This window comes from Homo sapiens, chromosome 20, assembly GCF_000001405.40.
Source record: "Homo sapiens chromosome 20, GRCh38.p14 Primary Assembly".
Taxonomy (NCBI): Eukaryota; Metazoa; Chordata; class Mammalia; order Primates; family Hominidae; genus Homo; species Homo sapiens.
The window spans coordinates 18438905-18458135 of record NC_000020.11 but is presented as its reverse complement, the minus strand read 5'-3'; the positions used below and the strand labels follow the sequence as shown (position 1 = coordinate 18458135).

Genomic DNA, 19231 nt, shown 5'->3' with positions numbered 1-19231 from the left:
TGAAAATCAGTAAGGGCAAAGCAGACAAAGAACACTGAAGAAAGAAGATAATTGGAAATATAAAAAGTATTAAGAGTCTGGCCAGGTCAAATAGAAACACTGGCTGCGGTAACTTTTGAGCCATAATCACATGGAAAGGACAGCATAGGAAAGGTGAGCTTTCAATGCGTATGAGGAGGGGTGAGAGTTAAACACATCAAATAAATTCGCCAAGCGTGGTCATGATGATGTGGCAGAGGCTGCTGGATGTCCCCCAATATCTGTTTTTCCCTTTAATAATAGGGCCCATGATTTTTAGCCAGGCACATGGTTGCCTAGAAGATATTTCCCAATCCCCGTTGCAGCTAGTTAGAGATGTGTACCAGGCTGTGGCCAGTGGATACATGTAGAAGTGATGTGTTCAACTTTAAGATTGTACCTTTAAAGAGAAAGGGTGGGCTTTGCTTCCAATTGGCTGGAATGTAGATGTGGTTGGCCAGTCAGGTTGGGCCATGAGGATAAACGCAATGTCATAGAAATGATGGAGTAACCAAGTAGAAACTTGCTATCGTGCTTCTGTCACCATGACACCCCTATACCTAGCTCTAGACTGCTTATACCCTATTACTTCTGTCTTGTTTAAGCCTCTGTTTGTTTGTTTGTTTGTTCATTTGTTTTTTGAGACAGGGTCTCGCTGTGTCACCCAGACTGGAGTGTAGTGGTGTGATCTTGGGTCACTGCAACCTCCGCCTCGTGGGTTCAAGCAATTCTTGTGCCTCAGCCTCCTGAGTAGCTGGGATTACAGGTGTGCACCACCACAACCCAGCTAATTTTTTGTACTTTTGGTAGAGATGGGGTTTTGCTATGTTGGCCAGGCTGGTCGTGAACTCCTGGCCTCAAGTGATTCGCCTGCCTTGGCCTCCCAAAGTGCTGGGATTACAGGAGTGAGCCACCGTGCCCTGCCATAAAGCCACTATTGTTTTGATTCTGTGTTACAACGACCAAGCCTATATCTTGATAGACAAGGGACAAGTATCAAGCAAATACCTACAGAGAACATGATCAAGAGTACAGGTCATCAACAAGGCTGACAATATGAAGTGTCAGCAAGTATGTGGAGAAGCTGGACCCCTCAGCTACTGCTGGTGGGAATGTAAAATGGAACAGCCACAGTTTGGCAGTTTCTGAAAATTAAACACATACCTGCCATATGACCCAACAATTCCACTCCTCAGTATCTATTGAAGAGAAATGAAAACGTGTCCACATAAAGACTTATACATGAATGTTCATAGCAGCATTATACATAATAGCCCAAACCCAGAAATAATCCAAATGACCATCAGCTGGGGAATGGACATAAAAATTGTGGTATATCCATAAAATGGAATACTACTCAACAATAACAATGAACGAGTTACAACAACATAGATGAGTCTCCAAAAAAAAACAAATAAATAAAAAATCCAGACACGTAAGATGACCACATATGTATAATTACATTTATGTTAAATTTCTAGAAAAGACAAAACTATAGAGATAGGAAACAGATCAGTGGTTGCCTAGGAGGTTGGATAGGAGTGACTGCACACAGGCACAAGGGAATTCTTTTGGGTGATGGAAATGTCCTAAATATTTCCACTGTGGTGATACTCACAAAATTGTGTACATTACATTGACTGAATTCCGTTGAACCAGAAACTTAAAATAGATGAATTTTATGTCATGTAAATTATACCTCAATAAAGCTGTTAAAAAATAGAGTATAGGTGAGCTACTGGTAGTGAAATAACATCACCACTAGTTTTTAGTCATGGGCACGGCTACATTGTCTTCTTATGAAGCTCTTACTGCATCAGAGAACAAGATGAATTGTGAAATATTATGAATGAATGGAAAACATGATAGTATTTGAGTTACAGAATCTACCAGAGCAGCATATATTACACTGTCTACAGCTGAGACAGGGAAAATGCTCTTGATTCATGTGGAATGACCTAGGCAACACATTTTTTGTTTTAGAATAGTTTGAGGCTTATGGTCTGATATCTTTATGATGAATGTGGTAGATAGTCTTCAAAAATGGCCCCCAATGAACTATGCCTCCCAGAATTTATGCCCTTTTGTAACCTTTCTGCTGGTGTTGTGACTTGCTTTTGACCAATAGAATGTTTCAGAAATGATGCCAAGGGCTTCTGAGATCACAAGAAGTATTGTAGTTTCTGCTTTGGTTTCTTGGGACAAAAACACTGGCAGGGGATTGGGGTAGTCAGGTACTATGGAGGAAGTCTGACTACCTGAGGCTTCCATACTGTGAGGAAGCCCAAGCTAACCACATGAGAGAGAGAGGGAGGGACAGAGGGATGGAGATTGAGTGAGAGTGATGAGTGGCGAGCCCCTAGCTGTTCCAGTTACCCCAGCCCAGGCTTTGCATATTTGAGAGAAGTCATTTTGAACATCCAGCCCAGTTGAGCCTTCAGTTGACTCCAGCCCTTGCTGATGTTTGATGGCAGCCACATGGAAGAGCTCAAATGAGACCTACCCAGTGGGGACCGTGAATCCACAGATTCATGTTTTAAGGCACTACCTTTGGGGTGGTTTGTTACATAGCAGTAAATAGCCCAAAAGGAAGGAGGTCAGGAAAGACTATAGAAATTACATTTGATTTCTTCAATTTGAAATACAATAAATTTAGTAGCTAGACTAAGGCACTTTAATAAAATCATCTTGTTAGCCACTTTTTAAAAAATCTTTGTGTAACACAGACTTTTTCCTTTCTTAATAATAATTTTCAGAGACTGCAGACAGAGTGGCATTGTGACAAAGGTGTTTCACGTAGACTATGAACCACCAAATATAGTCTCTCCTGAAGACAATGTTGAAAATGTTCTCAAAGATTCTTCAAGGCAGGCAAGTAATGAAACTATAATCCATTCAGATTGTCACTGTATTTTGGTTCCTTCTTTCTCAGTGAGCAGATCTTGCCTTTTATTACCTTACCTCTGCTCACAGTCAGGTCCTTATAACTGAAGTCATTATCAACCATTGCAAAGCATCTTTACTGATTTCTCAGCCTTTTGTCAGTCTCCTATCCACCCTGAAGATGAGAGTTCCTGCTGAGCATTGGGGTCCATGCTCCAGTGTCTTCAGTGGCTCTCTCTTACCTACTGAAAAAACCAGAAACCTTTAGCCTTCCATCCAAGTCATCAGTTTCTGCCCTTGGTCAGCTTTTCCTGGTCTGTCAACCCCCTACATATACTCCAACCAAACTGGAGTGTGTTTGCTATGCCCTATCACTGCTATCCTGGCACCCAGGCCTTCTTTTATAAACTGCTTTGAGCATGTGATTACTTTGTTCCTTGTTTATCTTGCCTATGCATTATAAGCTCCAAGGTGGCATGGTTGCCATACTCATTGCCTTGCACAGGAGCAGGCAGGAGAGGGTGGTGAGTGTGTATTTGCTGAATAGATGCATTAAGTAGAAGTCCTCAGTGGGCATAGAATTCTTTTATGTTGAAATCTTTATTCCCAAATATCTGCAAAGCCTCCCCACTGTGAAGAGTCAATTAGATCCATCTGAGAAGGATGTGTGACGCTTCAGGCACTGGGTGTGAGCATCGATAAGAAAGATTCAAGGAGTTAGGCCAGAGGATGGGCTAGCCTACAGTAAGGCGGCCAACCCAGAGGTCTTGGTCACAGGGATGTTGTTGGGATTGACAGAGGAAGTTTATAGGGGTTTCACTTAAGCTTGACCATGAACCTGATGCTAGAGAGGAGGTTGGTAGATGCAGGCATGGGTGGGACTCAAGTGTGATCAAGGCAAGGATCTACACTGGGCAGGGGCCGCCTTCGGGGGCTAAGCCAACATATGTCAGCAAGTGCTTAGGCTTGAATCAGGTGTGAGGGACCAAGTCCATGGAGAAAGTCCAGAGAGAAGAGTGTTTAAGGACTGTGTGTGGGCAGGTGGTGTGCAGAAGTCTGATTTTGGTCTGACTCTACCCTGCCTTTGCCCTCTGGACTTGGTGGTCCCTCTGTTGTTACCCAGACTCCCACAGTTGTAACATCCTGCCTGCATGTGCTGCTCCCTGCCTCCTGCCTTGGCCACTTCACCTGGTGAGGGCTACATCCAGATGTGCTGCCAGCTGAGCAGCCCAGTCCAGATACAAAGCTGCATGTTTCCAGAATAAAGTGAAACAGGGGTCACTTTGTACAAATGACCATAAACTCTTTCAAATAAGAAATGCACACCATGACACTTTCTCTATCATGCAGCTTTAATTCTCACATGGGAATAACCAAGTGATTGATATGCAATCTCTTCATTCCTAGGAATTCAAAAATGGATTTGTTGGATCAAAACTAAAGAAAAAATATAAGAACTCTGAAAATCAACGCAGCTGGAATGTTAACCTTAGAAAGTTTCCAGGTATGATGTGACAGAACAAAGACAAGGTTTTGTATTCTGAACCCACCGAAGAGGTTCATGGCATGTTCGTTGCATGTTTTCTTGTCTGGAGAAGTGTTGGAATAAGAAACACTGGGGCAGGAAAGTATGCTGTACTTTGAATTTTAATGACGTCCTTGCTTACAGCTTAAGATCATGAAGGAGGATCAAGCAGTCCAACCAAGTTAGATTTCTTGACCCACTGCCGGGAGCCATGGGGGCATCTAACCAAACAGAGGAAATGCTGGAGTTGTAGGGTTTGGGGGAAGGGTGGAGTTTGGGTGAAATATAAATGAAAGCAGAGTTTTGATAGTCTCAAAGCGAAGCTGGTCTGGGTGTGAAGGGATCAGCATCAGGTATGGACCCAGGGTATCAGCATCAGGAAGGGGACCCAGGGTTCTGTTGCCTTGGAAACTACAAAGATACATGGGGAACACTGTGTTCAGAAATGATTATCTCTGCACCAGGGTTGGACATTGAAGCTGCTTCTCTATGTCAGAGTGGCCTAGATTCCCCAGGCAAGAGTTGAATGTTTCGTTCTTACTGAGAATTTCAAACAGCAAAGTTTCTGATAATCTGTGATTTAAGAGAACAGGGTTTCTCAGTGAGTAAGAAAGACAAGGCATGCAAAGAGGGGGCTGCTAACGACATTTACAGCTGCAGTGTGCTCTTGGGAGATATAATATTTCCTGCTAACTTTGCAACTGGATTGATCTGTCTGTTTTCCCAGCCTGAAGTGGAATATTGTAGAATGCAGCGGGGAAGATGATCTTCTCAGTCTGGGCTTGTTTTTTCTTTCTCACTTCTAATGCATTGAGTGTGTGGCGGGAGCTCTTTATATAATTGTTACTTCTAGGGAAGCAATGTGGTGACAGTGGTTCTTTATTAAAAGGTCTCCCGCTGTGAAGATATCTTTGTATGATTATGTATAATTACAGATGCTCAAAGAATAATGTTTTTAATATCATTGTAGACGTCCAGGTAGGTGAAAGAACTGACCCTAAAACTTTGAAAGATCTTCACTTTTCAGAGAGTCCATTGGAAATCCCAGCTTATGGTGGAGGATCAGGTTCTAGACCACCCACCCGCCAGTCCCAGGTAACTTCTAAGGACAATCTTTAGGGTATTCAAATACCTCCTATATTTTTAATGCTCCCATGAAATACTTTAAGACTGCACCTCCCCCACTTTTGACCATGTGCCAGGCACTGTTCTAGTGCTGGGAATACTGTACTGGACAAGAAAAGTCCCTGTATTCATGGAGCTTACCTTTTATTGGGCTTGGGGGCAGACACATAATTTTAAGTAAATAAACAGAAAATTTAAAATGGTGGTAAGCGTCATGAAGAAGATAACATGGTAATGAGATAGAGCAGTGGTTCTCAGAGGCGATCCCCAGACCTGCAGCATCAGCATCACGTGGGAACTTATTTGAAACACACATTCTCAGGCCTGATGAGCAAGGTGGGAGATGAGTGAGAAGGTGGCTGGGGCCAGAGTATCTAGAGCTGTGGTTCTCAATCATGGCTGCACGTTAGAATCACCTGAAGAGCTTCAAACCAATCCCCAAGGTTTAGCGTCAGAAATTCTGATTTAATTGGTCTGATGTGGGGTTTGAGCATCGTTAAAAAAAAAAAAAAACCACCCCTAAATGATTCTAACGGTCAGGTATGGTTGAGAGTCACAGATACTAGTCTGACCGTAAGAAGTTTGAATTCTATTCTAATTGTAAATGGTATCTGTTTGGCAGGCAAGACACAGTCCCATTTACATTTAAAAGTTTTCTGTTTGGCCACAGTATGGAGATTAGACCATGGAAGAGGAAAGGGAGAACATTATTTAGGAGGCTTTTGTTCCAGGTGAGAAATGATGGTGACTTGGACCAAGGTTGTAGAGGTGGTCAGGATAGGAGGCGGGCTTTGCTGAGGGATCCGACGGATGAGAGGGAAGGGGAGGAGCCAAGTCTGCCTCTCAGGGTTTGTCCTGAGTATCTGGAGATGATGGTGCCATTGACAAAGCTGGAAAAGATGAGAGACGAGCAGGTGTCCAAGGGCACATTAGACATCCAAGTGGAGGTGTTGAGTAGATTGTTGGATGTGCAAGTTCACATATGGGAGAGGTCAGAGCTGGACATATGTACTTAGAAATATGGAAATATTCAATATGTTGATGGTATTTGAAGCTTAGGTCTGAACGAGATCACTAGTCAAGGCTGAACAGAAAGTGAAGAGAAGGAAAATGAAGAAAGTCCTCAACTTAGAGGTTGAGCAGGGGAGGAGGAGCCTGAAAGTAGAAAGAAAGCCAAAAGAATATGTTGCCATGGAAACCAAGAGATGAAAGAATTTCAAGGAGAAGATCATCTATGTCATATGTTACTGAAGGTTCTAATTAGATAAAGACAGACAATTGGAAATTCACATTGGCTTTGACAAGATAGAGGTGACTTATGACCTTAATAAAAGGCATATTGGCTGGGCGTGGTGGCTCACGCCTGTAATCCCAACACACTGGGAGGCTGAGGCAGGCAGATCATGAGGTCAGGAGTTCGAGACCAGCCTGGCCAATATGGTGAAACCCCGTCTCTACTGAAAATACAAAAATTAGCCAGGCATAGTGGCGCGCACCTGTAGTCCCAGCTACTCGGGAGGCTGAGGCAGAAGAATCGCTTGAACTGGGGAGGCGGAGGTTGCAGTGAGCCAAGATTGTGTCATTGCACTCTAGCCTTGGCAACAACGTGAGACTCTATCTCAAAAATGAAAATAAAAATAAAAATAAAAGGCATATCAGTGCATTCTTACTACTATAACACAAGAAAGATGCTCTTACACTAGTTGCCTACTATACTATTATAGTGCTTTGGTTTTTCAATGTTTATAAAATCCAATTTGGACTTTTGGCATCTAAGGGCAACCCAGGAGCCCTTGTTCTGTTCCTCCTATTTGAGTCCCAAGTTTAATGTACCTGGAGTCACATTTTCTGTGTAACCACAGCTCCTTGTGTGCCCATGATTGCATGGCTGCTCACACTTACCATCAAGTATAAAGGAGAAAAGCATGGTTTCCAAACCCAGTTGCATATCAGAATCACCCAGGGACTGAAGGCTCAGTGTTGCTACATCCAATGAATTTGCATGAGAAGGCAGAAAACTACATCTTTATGTGTAATAACATAATTTAAAGTTTTGACTGTTAGTTAAAATTTTGAAACACTATGGGAGCCAATGCCAAATAAAACTCAATGGCAGGCCAGATTTGCCTAATAGACCACCACTTTGAGACTTCTGGTCTAGGTCATGTTATGTTTTTATTTATTTGTTTTTCTTTTTGTAGAGATGGGGATTCACTATGTTGCCCAGACTATTTTTGAACTCCTGGCCTCAAGCAATCCTCCTGCCTCAGCCTCCCAAAGTATTGGGGTTACAAATGTGAGCCACTACACCCAGCCTAGGCCATGTTAGATGTGGCACAAAAGCAATGAGAAACCTCTGACTGCTCTCTATTGCCTGCAGGATAGAGCCTGTAGTCCTAAGTTCAGACCTTTGAGTTTCCTAGAGATACAGTTTTTGAGAAAAATAGATACTGAAGTTTGTTTGTTTGTTTGTTTATTTATTTATTTATTTATTTATTTATTTATTTGAGACGGAGTTTCACTCTATTGCCCAGGCTGGAGTGCAGTGGCATGATCTTGGCTCACCACAACCTCTGCTTCCCGGGTTCAAGCGATTCTCCTGCCTCAGCCTCCTGAGTAGCTGGGATTATAGGCATGCGCCACCACACCCTGCTAATTTTGTATTTTTAGTAGAGACGGGGTTTCTCCATGTTGGTCAGGCTGGTCTCGAACTCCCGACCTCAGGTGATCTGCTCACCTCTGCCTCCCAAGGTGCTGGGATTGTAGGCATGAGCCACTGTGCCCAGCCGAGTTTATTTATTTATTTTTACTTTTTTTTTTTTTTTTTTTGAGACAGAGTCTCACTCTCACCCAGGCTGGAGTGCAGTGGTGCAATCTTGGCTCACCACAACTTCCACCTCCTGGGTTCAAGCGATTCTCCTGCTTCAGCCTCCCGAGTAGCTGGGATTACAGGCACCCGCCACCACACCCAGCTAATTTTTTTTTGTATTTTTAGTAGAGATGGGGCTTCGCCATGTTGGCCAGGCTGGGATACTAAAGTTTTTAAATCCTAAAATCTGGTCTGTCTCATGGTAAATTCAGGTATCTTTTATTGTAAACTCTCATTTTTAATGAAATATAGATATATGATTGTGAATAGCACTTTAAATAATTTAGAAATGTTAGATACTAGAGTAATAATTACATTACTCATAATGATTTTTTATTTTTATAATTTTTTATTTTTATGGGTTCAGGGGGTGCAGATTTGTTACATGTATTGTATAATGGTGAGGTTTGGGCTTCTAGGGTACCCTTCACCCAAATAGTGAACACTGCACCCAATAGGTAATTTTTCAGCCCTCGCCTTTTCCCACCCTTCCCACTTTTAGAGTCTATAGTGTCTATTATTCCTCTTTATATGTCTATGTGTATTCACCCATAATGATTTTTAATGGAATTTTACTATACCATAGCCTTTACCATGTTATTTTGACTATATGACTCTGTCTTTATACCTATATTCTTAATTTTAGTCCCCCGGTTTTGCACACGTAAGCGGTCAGAAGTGTTTGACAAGCACGGAGATAATGAGAATTCAAAGGGAGACAGACTTTCTCAAGTAAGTATCACATTCTCTTTACTCTGCCTTAAATCCTACAAAGATACATCATGGTCAAAGAGAATTTAAAGATACGACATTTTTGCCCACCTCCAACTTTTTTTTTTTTTTTTTTTTGAGACGGAGTCTCACTCTGTCACCCTGGCTGGAGTGCGGTGGTGCAGTTTTGGCTCACTGCAACCTCCGCCTCCTGGGTTCAAGCGATTCTCCTGCCTCAGCCTCCCGAGTAGCTGAGATTACAGGCACGCGCCACCACGCCCAGCTAATTTTTGTGTTTTTAGTAGAGACGGGGTTTTACCATGTTGGCCAGGATGGTCTTGATCTCTTGACCTCGTGATCTGCCCACCTCGGTCTCCCAAAGTGCTGAGATTACAGGTGTGAGCCACCACACCCGGCCCCAACTTTTTAAATTAAATGTTTACAGCCTGTTAAAAAGTATAATTGACATACAATAACTGCATATGTATTTAGAGTTCATTTGACTATGTATGTATGTATGTATGTAACCATGACACTGTCACAATCAAGAAAATGAGTAAGTTCATCCCTGCCAAAAATTTCCTACATTGTACCCTATTTGGTAACCCCTTCCTTTTACCCCCGCTCATCACAGGCAATTATTGATTTCTTTCTTGTCACTATAGTTTAACTTGCATGTGATTCAATATGTCAACGAAGTGACTTAGTGTGTGCTCTTTAATGCTGGACTTCTTTCACTCAGCGTAACTATTTTCAGATTCATCTATGTTGTTCCTTGTAACAAACATCCGTTTCTTTTTATTGTTGAACTACAGTCCATTGTATGGATATACCACAGTTTGTTTATCCATTCACTTATTGATGGGAATTTGTGTTATATCCAATTTTGGGCTATTACAGATAAAGTTGCTGTGAACATTTGTACAAAAGTTACTGTATATACAAAAGTGATCCAGTCTCATATCTGGTCTCTAAATAAATAAATAAATTGATAAAAATTAACAGATACAATAAAATAATTTTTAAAACCCCAAAGTCATTATGTATACACGTTTTCATTTCCCTTGGGGCAAATACCTTGAAGAGGAATATGATAGGTATATATTTTTTTAAGAAACTGCCAATCTGCTTTCCAAAGTGATTGTTCCATTTTACATTCTCACCAGCAGTGGAGGAGAATTCTCTGTATCCTTACTAACTTTTATTTTTATTTTGATCATTCTAATGAGATTGTAACAGTATCTCATTGTGGTTTTTATTTGCGTTTCCCTAGTGACTAATGATGTTGAGCCTCTTTTCATGTGCTTATTTCCATCCATGCATCTTCTTTGGTAAAGTGTCCTTTCAAACTTTTGGCCTTTAAAAAAATGCATTATAGTCCGGGTGCAGTGGCTCACACCTGTAATCACAGCACTTTGGGAGGCTGAGGTGGGCGGATCACCTGAGGTCAGGAGTTCAAGACCAGCCTGGCCAACATGGTGAAACCCCATCTCTACTAAAAATACAAAAAATTAGCTGTGCGTGGTGGTGGGCGCCTGTAATCCCAGCTACTTGGGATCTCCAGCTGAGGCAGGAGAATCGCTTGAACCCGGGAGGCGGAGGTTGCAGTGAGCCAAGATTGTGCCACTGCACTCCAGCCTGGATGACAGAGGCATGCGCCACTATGCCCGGCTAATTTTTGTATTTTTTTAAGTAGAGATGAGGTTTCACCATGTTGGCCAGGCTAGTCTAGAACTTCTGACCTCAGGTGATCTGCTCCCCTCAACCTCCCAAAGTAGTGGGATTATAGGCGTGAGCCACCACACCCAGCCAAGTTGAGGAAATTTTTACCTGTTTCCAATTTGCTGAGAGCTTCTTTTTTAAAATCAGGAATAGATGTTGGATTTTGTCCAAAGCATTTTTTCTATTTATTGAGAGGATAATTTAGTTTTTCTTTTTCTGTTCATGTGGTGAATTACAATGATTGGTTTTCAAATGTTAAGTCAACCTTACATCCCTGAAATATATCTACCTGAAGTGTTATCTATTTTATATAATGTTGAATTTGATTTGCTAAAAGGTTTTAAAGAATTTTTTTTGCCAGCATTTGCATAAGGGATGTTGGGGGATTTTCTTTTCTTGTTAATGTCTTTGTCTGGTTTTAGTATCGGTATAATTCTAGATTCATAGAATAAGTTAGGAAGTGTTTTCACTCCTTCACCTTCTGAAAAAGTTTATGTAAAATTGGTGTTATTTCTTCCTTACATATTTGGTAGAAATTCACAAGTGAAATGATTAGATCTGGAGTTTTCCTTCAGGAAGATTTTTTTTCAGGAAGATTTTTAACTACACATTAGATTTCTTTAATAGATATAAGTACATTTATATTTATTAATCTTTCTTTTGGAGTACATTTTAGGTTTAATTTGTTCTTTTTTTAGTTTCTTTAATGGGAATATGAAGTTACTGATTTGAAGTCTTTCTTCTTTTCTAGCATAGGCATTTAGAACTATACATTTCCCCTGAATACTGTTTTACTTGCAGTCTCTGAATTTTGATATGTTGTGTTTTCATCTTCATTCAGTTCAAACAGTTTCTAATTATCCTTGTTATTTTGTAGGGAGGGCAATGGGTTAGTTAGAAGTGTTTTATTATATTTCCAAATACTGGAGGATTTTCCTTGTATCTTTTGGGCCTGTCTGCCTTCTTTCTTTCCTTCCTGCCTTCCCACCCTCTCTCCCTTCCTTCTTTCCTTCCTTCCTTTCGTCCTTTCTTCTTTCTTTCTTAGGGTCTCACTCTGTCACCCAGGCCGAAGCGCAGAGGCCCAATCATAGCTCACAGCAGCCTCAAACTCCTGGATTCAAGGCATCCTCCTGCCTCAGCCTCCTAAGTAGCTGGGACTATAGGCATGTGCCAGTACACCCAGCTAATTAAAAAACTTTTTTTCTTTTTTTTTTTTTTGGCTGGGCGTGGTGGCCCATGCCTATAATGCCAGCACTTTGGGAAGCTGAGGTGGGAGGATCACTTGAGGCCAGGAGTTTGAGACTAGCCTGGCCAACATGGCAAAACCCCGTCTCTGCTAAAAATATACATACCAAAAAAAAATTAGGCATGGTGGCACATGCCTGTCAATCCCAGCTACTCGGGAGGCTGAGGCACAATAATCACTTGAAGCCAGGAGGTGGAGGCTGCAGTGAGCCGAGATCATGCCACTTCACTTCAGCCTGTGCGACAGAGGAAGACTCTGTCTCAAAACAAAAAACCTTGTATATATATATTTTTTTGTGGCAGGGGTGGGGTTTTCACAAAGTTGCCCAGGCTGGTCTTGAACTCCTGGCCTCAAGTGATCCTCCCACCTTAGTCTCCCAAATTGTTGGGATTATAGGTATGAGCCAGTACACGTGGCCTGGTGCTTATGTCAAATTTATTTACTTTTGGTCAGAAAAGATATATGATTTGATTGGTAAATGTTCTATGTACACTTTAAAAGAATGTGTATTCTGCCAGAATGAGTGTACTATAAATATCAATTAGGTTTAGTTAGTTGATGGTATTGTTTAAGTCTTCTCTATCTTTACTGATTTTCTGTTTATCATGTAATCAGTTATTGAAAAAGCAGTATTGAAATATATGACTGTAATTATGAATTTGCCTATTTATTCTTGCATTTCATTTCTATCAGTTTTTCTTCATGTACTTTGATACTCTGCTATTAAGTACATAAACATTTTGGATTTTTTTGTCCTCTTGCTAAGTTGACCCTTTTATCATTATGAAATAAACTTCTTTAACTCTGTTAATATTCTTTGCTCAGAAACCTACTTGTTCTGATGTTAATGTTGTCACTCCTGCTTTCTTTTGATGTGTGTGTACCTCCCTTTATTGAATCTATTTATGTCTCTATTTAAAGTTGGTTTCTGGCCGGGCGCGGTGGCTCACGCCTGTAATCCCAGCACTTTGGGAGGCCGAGGTGGGCGGATCACGAGGTCAGGAGATCGAGATCATCTTGGCTAACACAGTGAAACCCCATCTCTACTAAAACTACAAAAAAAAAAAAATTAGCCGGGCTTGGTGGCAGGCACCTGTAGTCCCAGCTACCCTGGAGGCTGAGGCAGGAGAATGGCATGGACCCGGGAGGTGGAGCTTGCAGTGAGTCCAGATCATGCCACTGCACTCCAATCTGGGCGACAGAGCAAGACTCCGTCTCTAAATAAATAAATAAATAAACAAACAAATATAAAGTTGGTTTCTTTTGAGCAGCATATAGTTAGGCCTAGCTTTTTAAAAAAAACCATACCTGACAACTCCTATGTTCTAATTGGAGTATTTAGAGTATATATAGAGTATTCTAACTGATACCTCGGTAAATATGAATTTTTTCCACTTTGGCTGGTGTAAGCATGAGCTTTGCAGCCCTGTGTGAATCCTGAAGACTGTTTTCTCTGTTACCCTTTGGTGTTTACTTTCTAACCTTGAGTGGTTTCTTCCATCACATGCACTCATCAGTAGTACCCAGGTGAAGACTTGAGGGTGACCCTCTGCAAAATTCTGAAACTCTCCCTGCAGCTCTTCTCTGGTATTCTTTCCTGAAAGCTCCAGTTACCTTGACCTTCTGAGACTCCCAGCTCTATGTCTTCAATTCAAATCAGTGGAATGAGATAGTCAGATTACACTTCATGAGCTTTAAGCATAGAAAAGAGGGAACTGTTGTTGCTCTGGCGGGTGGGCCCATGCCAGAGAGATGGTGAAACCTTGGTGCCATGGTACAGTAATGAAGGACTAAATAGGATAAGAGTGTGGGAATGAGCTCAGCTCCAACGTGGAGACTAGTGTGGGCAACGAGACAATCCGGTGCACAGTATCCAAGCCTTCTAGTTGCTGAGGAGCTGTTCAGATCAATAGGTCACAGGATCAGGAGCCAACTTGTCTGGAAAGGCATGGCAGTAGCAGGAAAGGAATTAGGGCAGCCTAATTCCAAGAATGCTCTCACTTTGGCAGATAGCCAGAACCCATTTAGATGAGTGGGAGCTAAACGATGGGTCCAGCTGCATAAGAAATGGGGCCAGATGCTGCTGGGGCAGGGCCTGAGGACTCTAAGCAAAGGTGGGCAAAGAGAAAGGATGGGTTTGAGGCACAGGCAAGAAGCCCTGTCCCTCAGACTGGGCTCAATGGTAGAAAGTCAGAAAAGCATAATGTAAAAATTGCTGGAATTCCCAGGGCTCACCCTCATACACATCAAATCCAATGTGACAGGACAAGCCAGAGCCCGAGCAAGAAGTGGGGCCAAGGCTGCTGATAAACTTCTTGCCATGATCAAGAAGTTATATGGACTTGGCCTACGCAGAAAGGGCACCAGAGGGTCCAGTTGCAAGGCCACTATTCCAATAAAATGACCAAATGACCTAGATAAGTATTTCCTGTCTTGAACTTGTTCCATAGCCATTGAGAGCAGTCTGCTTTTGTTTTGTGTTTAAAACTGTTTGACCGCTTTTAGATTTTTATCAGTCTTCTTAATGTGGGCCCACCAGAACATGGCCAATCGGGAACCTGTTTTGTTGTAGGTGTGCCCACTGCCTTGCCCCCCGGCCATCAGATCCCTTTGCTCGCTTCTGTCAAGAATGTGGCTCTCCTGTCCCACCCATATTTGGCTGTCGTCTCCCACCCCCAGAAGGAGCTCAGGTGAGCAGCAGAATTCTTAAAAACATCTTTCATTGGTTGATCTGATCTTTATTTGCAGCAGTAACACAGTGCTTGGTACACATGAACTGCACATATAAATACTTGTTGAAGAATTACTGGCTGATTGAACTCTTACACACTCCTACTTAAGCATGGAAAAACTTACTTGCAATGCTGTGTCTTTTGTGTGGCCTGCCAGAAGCACGGGCTTAAAAAAGATTGGAATCTTATTGTTTTAATGAGGCATGCATGGATAAATAAATGTTTCCTACTCATTTGATAGCTCTGCTCATATCCTGGGTATAATAAGGAAATATATTCTAGAAATAAATAAAGAGAACTACCAATTACTTTATGTCTCTATATATCTATATATCCATAAGATGCATCATTCTGTCCAAAGAATCTATAGATTGATCTGTATATTTAAATTTAAAAGCTTTGGCTGATTTAGGATAGATAATAATTGATATCTCACTACTAATTTTGTAGATAGTTAAAAAACATACTTGGCTTGCTAAAAATTAAAACCTTCACCAAAATGTGTTCATCTTTTAAGCACTTGATATTTTGGGGATTTTTTTTGGACTTGGAATAAAGGGATGAAAATGAAATAAAGGGATCTGTGATATTGAGTGAAAAATTACAATTTTTAAGAAGATAGTTACTAAGAAAAAGTCACTAATTGAGTGAGTTCCAAGTCCAGAGTTTTAGATTCGAGTTATGCCTCAAGCAAGGGGTCAGGTATTAAATGGCTGTTTTAATATTTTTCTAATATATTGCTCAATATTTTTGTAGAAGTTAATTTAATTTACTTCAGTGATACATTTTAAACTCCTTAAAGATTTTGCTAATATATAATGGCAGAATCTTAGGGAATAAGGGTGGGAGTCGATTTTAAATAAAAACAGACTATAACACCAAATTGGGCCAAATTCATTGATATGTTTGCAGCTTATAGAGATTCTGGACTAAATGTGTTAGTGAAAGAAGACGATACAGAAAACAAAATATGAACAAGTCCCATTGGTTGATTTTTCTCTGTTTATACTAGTTGGTGCGATACCAAAATTATTTTCTACTTGCCTGGAAAGGGATTTTCACAACTAACTTCATTTTTACAGGGAGGAAAGGTTATCAGTGATTATAAATATTTAACATTATGAACTTTAAAACACCTAGATTGCCCCCCAGTTATATTTCTATTAGTGCAACAATAGACTATAATGTATAACAGCTTTGTAATTTAAGCTAACAACCATTTATTGAGTACTACTGTGTCCTGCTCTGAGCTGGGCTTCTAGGAGTCAAAGGGGCAGGATCCTACTTAGACCCACGACTCAGAGAGTCTCAGTAAAGAGATGCAGAGGTGTGTGCTCTCCTGTCTCTTTGCTCTTGCCATGTGAGCTAACCTGTAGGACACCCAGTTGTGCTGAACCCTGTGAATTTCAGTGTTGTCCCATGGACGCTTCTCAGTTCCACTGGCACCCCAGCCAGCTTCCCAGATAGTCTTTGGGGCATCCCAGTAGCAACTTTCCAGCAAGTTCCAGCCACATCTCTGTATCTGACTTCCCAACATGTTCTGCCAGTTCCCTAGATGAGGAATTCCTAATGAGTTTCATTGGATCCCAGTGGGCGGCTTTTTCCTTGCTGGCTCTGATCTGTGTCACCTCAGTGAACTTCTCTGCCATCCGGTGGGTGACAACCACACTCAATTCAATGAAGTCTGATTTCAGCCTTGGATGTGGGGCAAAGTAAGTGCCTCTTCCAAATTTGATCCTCCTTCGGTTCTCTGTCTCAGCCACAGAGGTAGGGGATCCTCCCTATGTTTGGAATTTCTGTATATGTAGAATCTGCTTTACCCATTAGTAGTTAATCCCTGGATACCAGTTAATAACTATTTATATGAACTTTTCCTGTTCAAATTAGTTGTGGTTTCTATGTCCTGATTGGACTCTGACTGATACAGAATTGGTAGTGGGATTGGTCCCAGGAAATAAACTGGGAAATGGGATTTTGGAAGTGGTTTGGTCTTGTCCTTTGCTTGGGAACAGTGCCGAGCTCCTTGCCAATGGGAAATGGGACACTGGTGATCCATAGCATGAGGGGGCATCACAGTTAATCAGGCTGTCACCTGTGGCTGATTGTGATGACGTGCCAATTGAAGCAAGTATCTTGAATGGCCAAGTAACTGCTGCACTTGACTCTATGACAGTGACAATGACTACAAAAACTGTGGTGGAGGATGTATTCTCCTGAGTCCATGGGAGCATTCACAGAAAGAAAACGACAAGCTCAGGACCTTTAAGTCATGGTGCAGGAACCAGAGGGCTCCTATGACAGCCCAAAATAATATACTTCTTGTAGCTCCAGGGTTATATTGATGAAAATCAAACAAAAATTGTATTGTATATGTTGGGGACTTATAATGTCTGTTAAATTCACCTGATCACCAGATTTCTTATTTGAAAGTTAGGCCATTAATTGAGAAAGGATGGGACCCTGAAACTCAGATAGAGATGGCAGGTGGGACCCAGATGAAACTGACAGTCTTGTTACCCTTGTCACTCTGTGCCTCCTGCCCAATGGATGTAGTTTGCCCTTATGTCTGAGGATGCCCTTCTGTCTGAGGATACCAGCCTTCGTTTTCTTGAAATGTTTGTGATAACCTCACCTGGGCAGATGGCTTGAAAGGGGATGTTTATTCTCCTCACAGGGGGTTGTGGGTGGTTTAAACCCATCACAACCACCTGTTGCATTCTAGGGACCCAACCCAGCATGCTACAGGAGGACAGGTGCATGCTGTGATCCAGGAGGAAATAACTTACACACACAAAGAAGAGGAAGATTTTACTAATATATAGTGACAGAGTCTTGGGGAATAAGTGTGGGATTAGATTTTAAATGAAGACAATATGACTTGAAATTGGTATAAATTCATTGATATGTGCACACCTTATAGAGATTCTGGGTTTAATGTGTTAGATAATGCAGCTGCGGTGGCTATAACAGCTTGCTTGGTTGACTGCTTAAAGCTTGGCCTCAGTAGTGGCCTGTGTTTAATGAGATTGGGATAGCAGAAGTTTCCCAGGTATATCAGTTTGCTAAGGTTGCCACAGCAAAACCCCACAGACTGTGTGGCTTAAAGAACAGAAATTTATTTTCTCATAGTTCTGCAGGCTGGAAGTTTAAGATCAAGGCGCCAGCAGGTTTGGTTTCTGGTGAGGCTTCTCTCCTCAGCTTTCAGACGGCTGCCTTCCTGATGTGTCCTTACTTGGCCTTTCCTCTGGGTACACAACCCTGGTGTCTCTTCCTCTTCTTATAAAGACATCAGTCATATTGGATCAAAGTCCCACTGTAATGACCTCATTTAACCTTAATTACCTCCTTAAAGGACCTATCTCCAAATACAATCACATTGGGGGCTGGGGCTTCAATATAATGAATTCTGGGGGGCACAGTTTAGTCCCTAACACCCAGCATCATGTGGAGCAGGGAATACAGAGACTTAGGCAAATAGGAAAGTTGGAGTGGGGTTGATACCTGTGTCCTGCATCCCTAACTCTTACCTATGTTTCACAAGAAGGCCCAGAAGACACTTCCATCACTAAGATATCAAGGAATACATTAGTGAGAGGAGCAGCTGCATCCTTAAAAAGTTCTGTGGCTGCTTTCCTTTGTAGGCCAGATATGATCGTGGGGGATGCTGCTATTTAGAGGAGTTCCCTGATCTCATTAGAGCTAGTGAGATCCCAGAGTAGCAGAAGTTAAGTGGCAGCACTTAACTGCCAAAGACAAGGACAGTAATGATGTTTCAGTAAGAGGAATCTGACATGGCATTCCTAGGAATGATAGACGGGCAGCCTTCTAGTGTATCGCCTGGTCTATATAATTGAAAAATGCTAGGTCATGTAGCTAAAAACTGACTTGAATCACTGCATTGGAGCAACCAAGTTCCTCCCCCAGTTTCCAGACATAAATCAGTTCACAAATTCAGTCTCTTGATTTAAGGGGAGACTGGATCTCCTTAGGGAAGGACCCTGGAGCTTTGCAAGTACATATCATAAGTCTTCCTTGAACGCTTCCCCAAGGGGACTTGTTGCTTTCAATTGAGTGACTGTGCAGTGGGGAAAAGGAAATGCCCAAATCTTTGAGGGATTTCTAGATACTGGCTCTAAATTCATGCTAATTCTTAGAGATTCAGAACACCACTGTGGTCCCCCAGTAAAGCTGGGACTTTAGGTGCGCAGGTGATAGATGGAACCTTAACCTCAACTCTGACTTGTAGTTTTTGCTTCATGTATTTTGGGGGTTTGTTGTTATGTCCATGCTATGGATTGAATCTTTGTGTCTTGGCCAAAATTCGTATGTTGAAATCCCAACCCCCAAGGTGATGGTGTTAGAAGGTTGGGTCTTTGGGAGGTAATTAGGTCGTGATGATG

General features: G+C 41.7%; 1 protein-coding gene across 31 annotated transcripts in view; it reads left to right on the top strand.

Annotated features, from left to right (window-relative positions):
- DZANK1 (double zinc ribbon and ankyrin repeat domains 1) overlaps positions 1 to 19231 on the top strand; it is an 83664-nt gene that overhangs the window by 8895 nt on the left and 55538 nt on the right. For 11 of the 31 annotated variants that reach the window (XR_007067462.1, NM_001367617.1, XM_017027911.2 and 8 more), the window contains exons 4-8: positions 2775 to 2889; positions 4309 to 4405; positions 5397 to 5521; positions 9067 to 9152; positions 14672 to 14789. Coding sequence is in view for 28 of the 31 variants with exons in the window: in NM_001367617.1 (NP_001354546.1) it covers positions 2775 to 2889; positions 4309 to 4405; positions 5397 to 5521; positions 9067 to 9152; positions 14672 to 14789 (541 nt within the window). In the remaining 3 variants the exon portion in view is untranslated. Of the gene's footprint in view, positions 1 to 2774; positions 2890 to 4308; positions 4406 to 5396; positions 5522 to 6173; positions 6283 to 9066; positions 9153 to 14671; positions 14790 to 15208; positions 16544 to 19231 lie in introns of those variants that run through there. The other 20 variants (NR_160274.1, NR_160273.1, XM_017027915.3 and 17 more) reach the window with 8 other exon arrangements.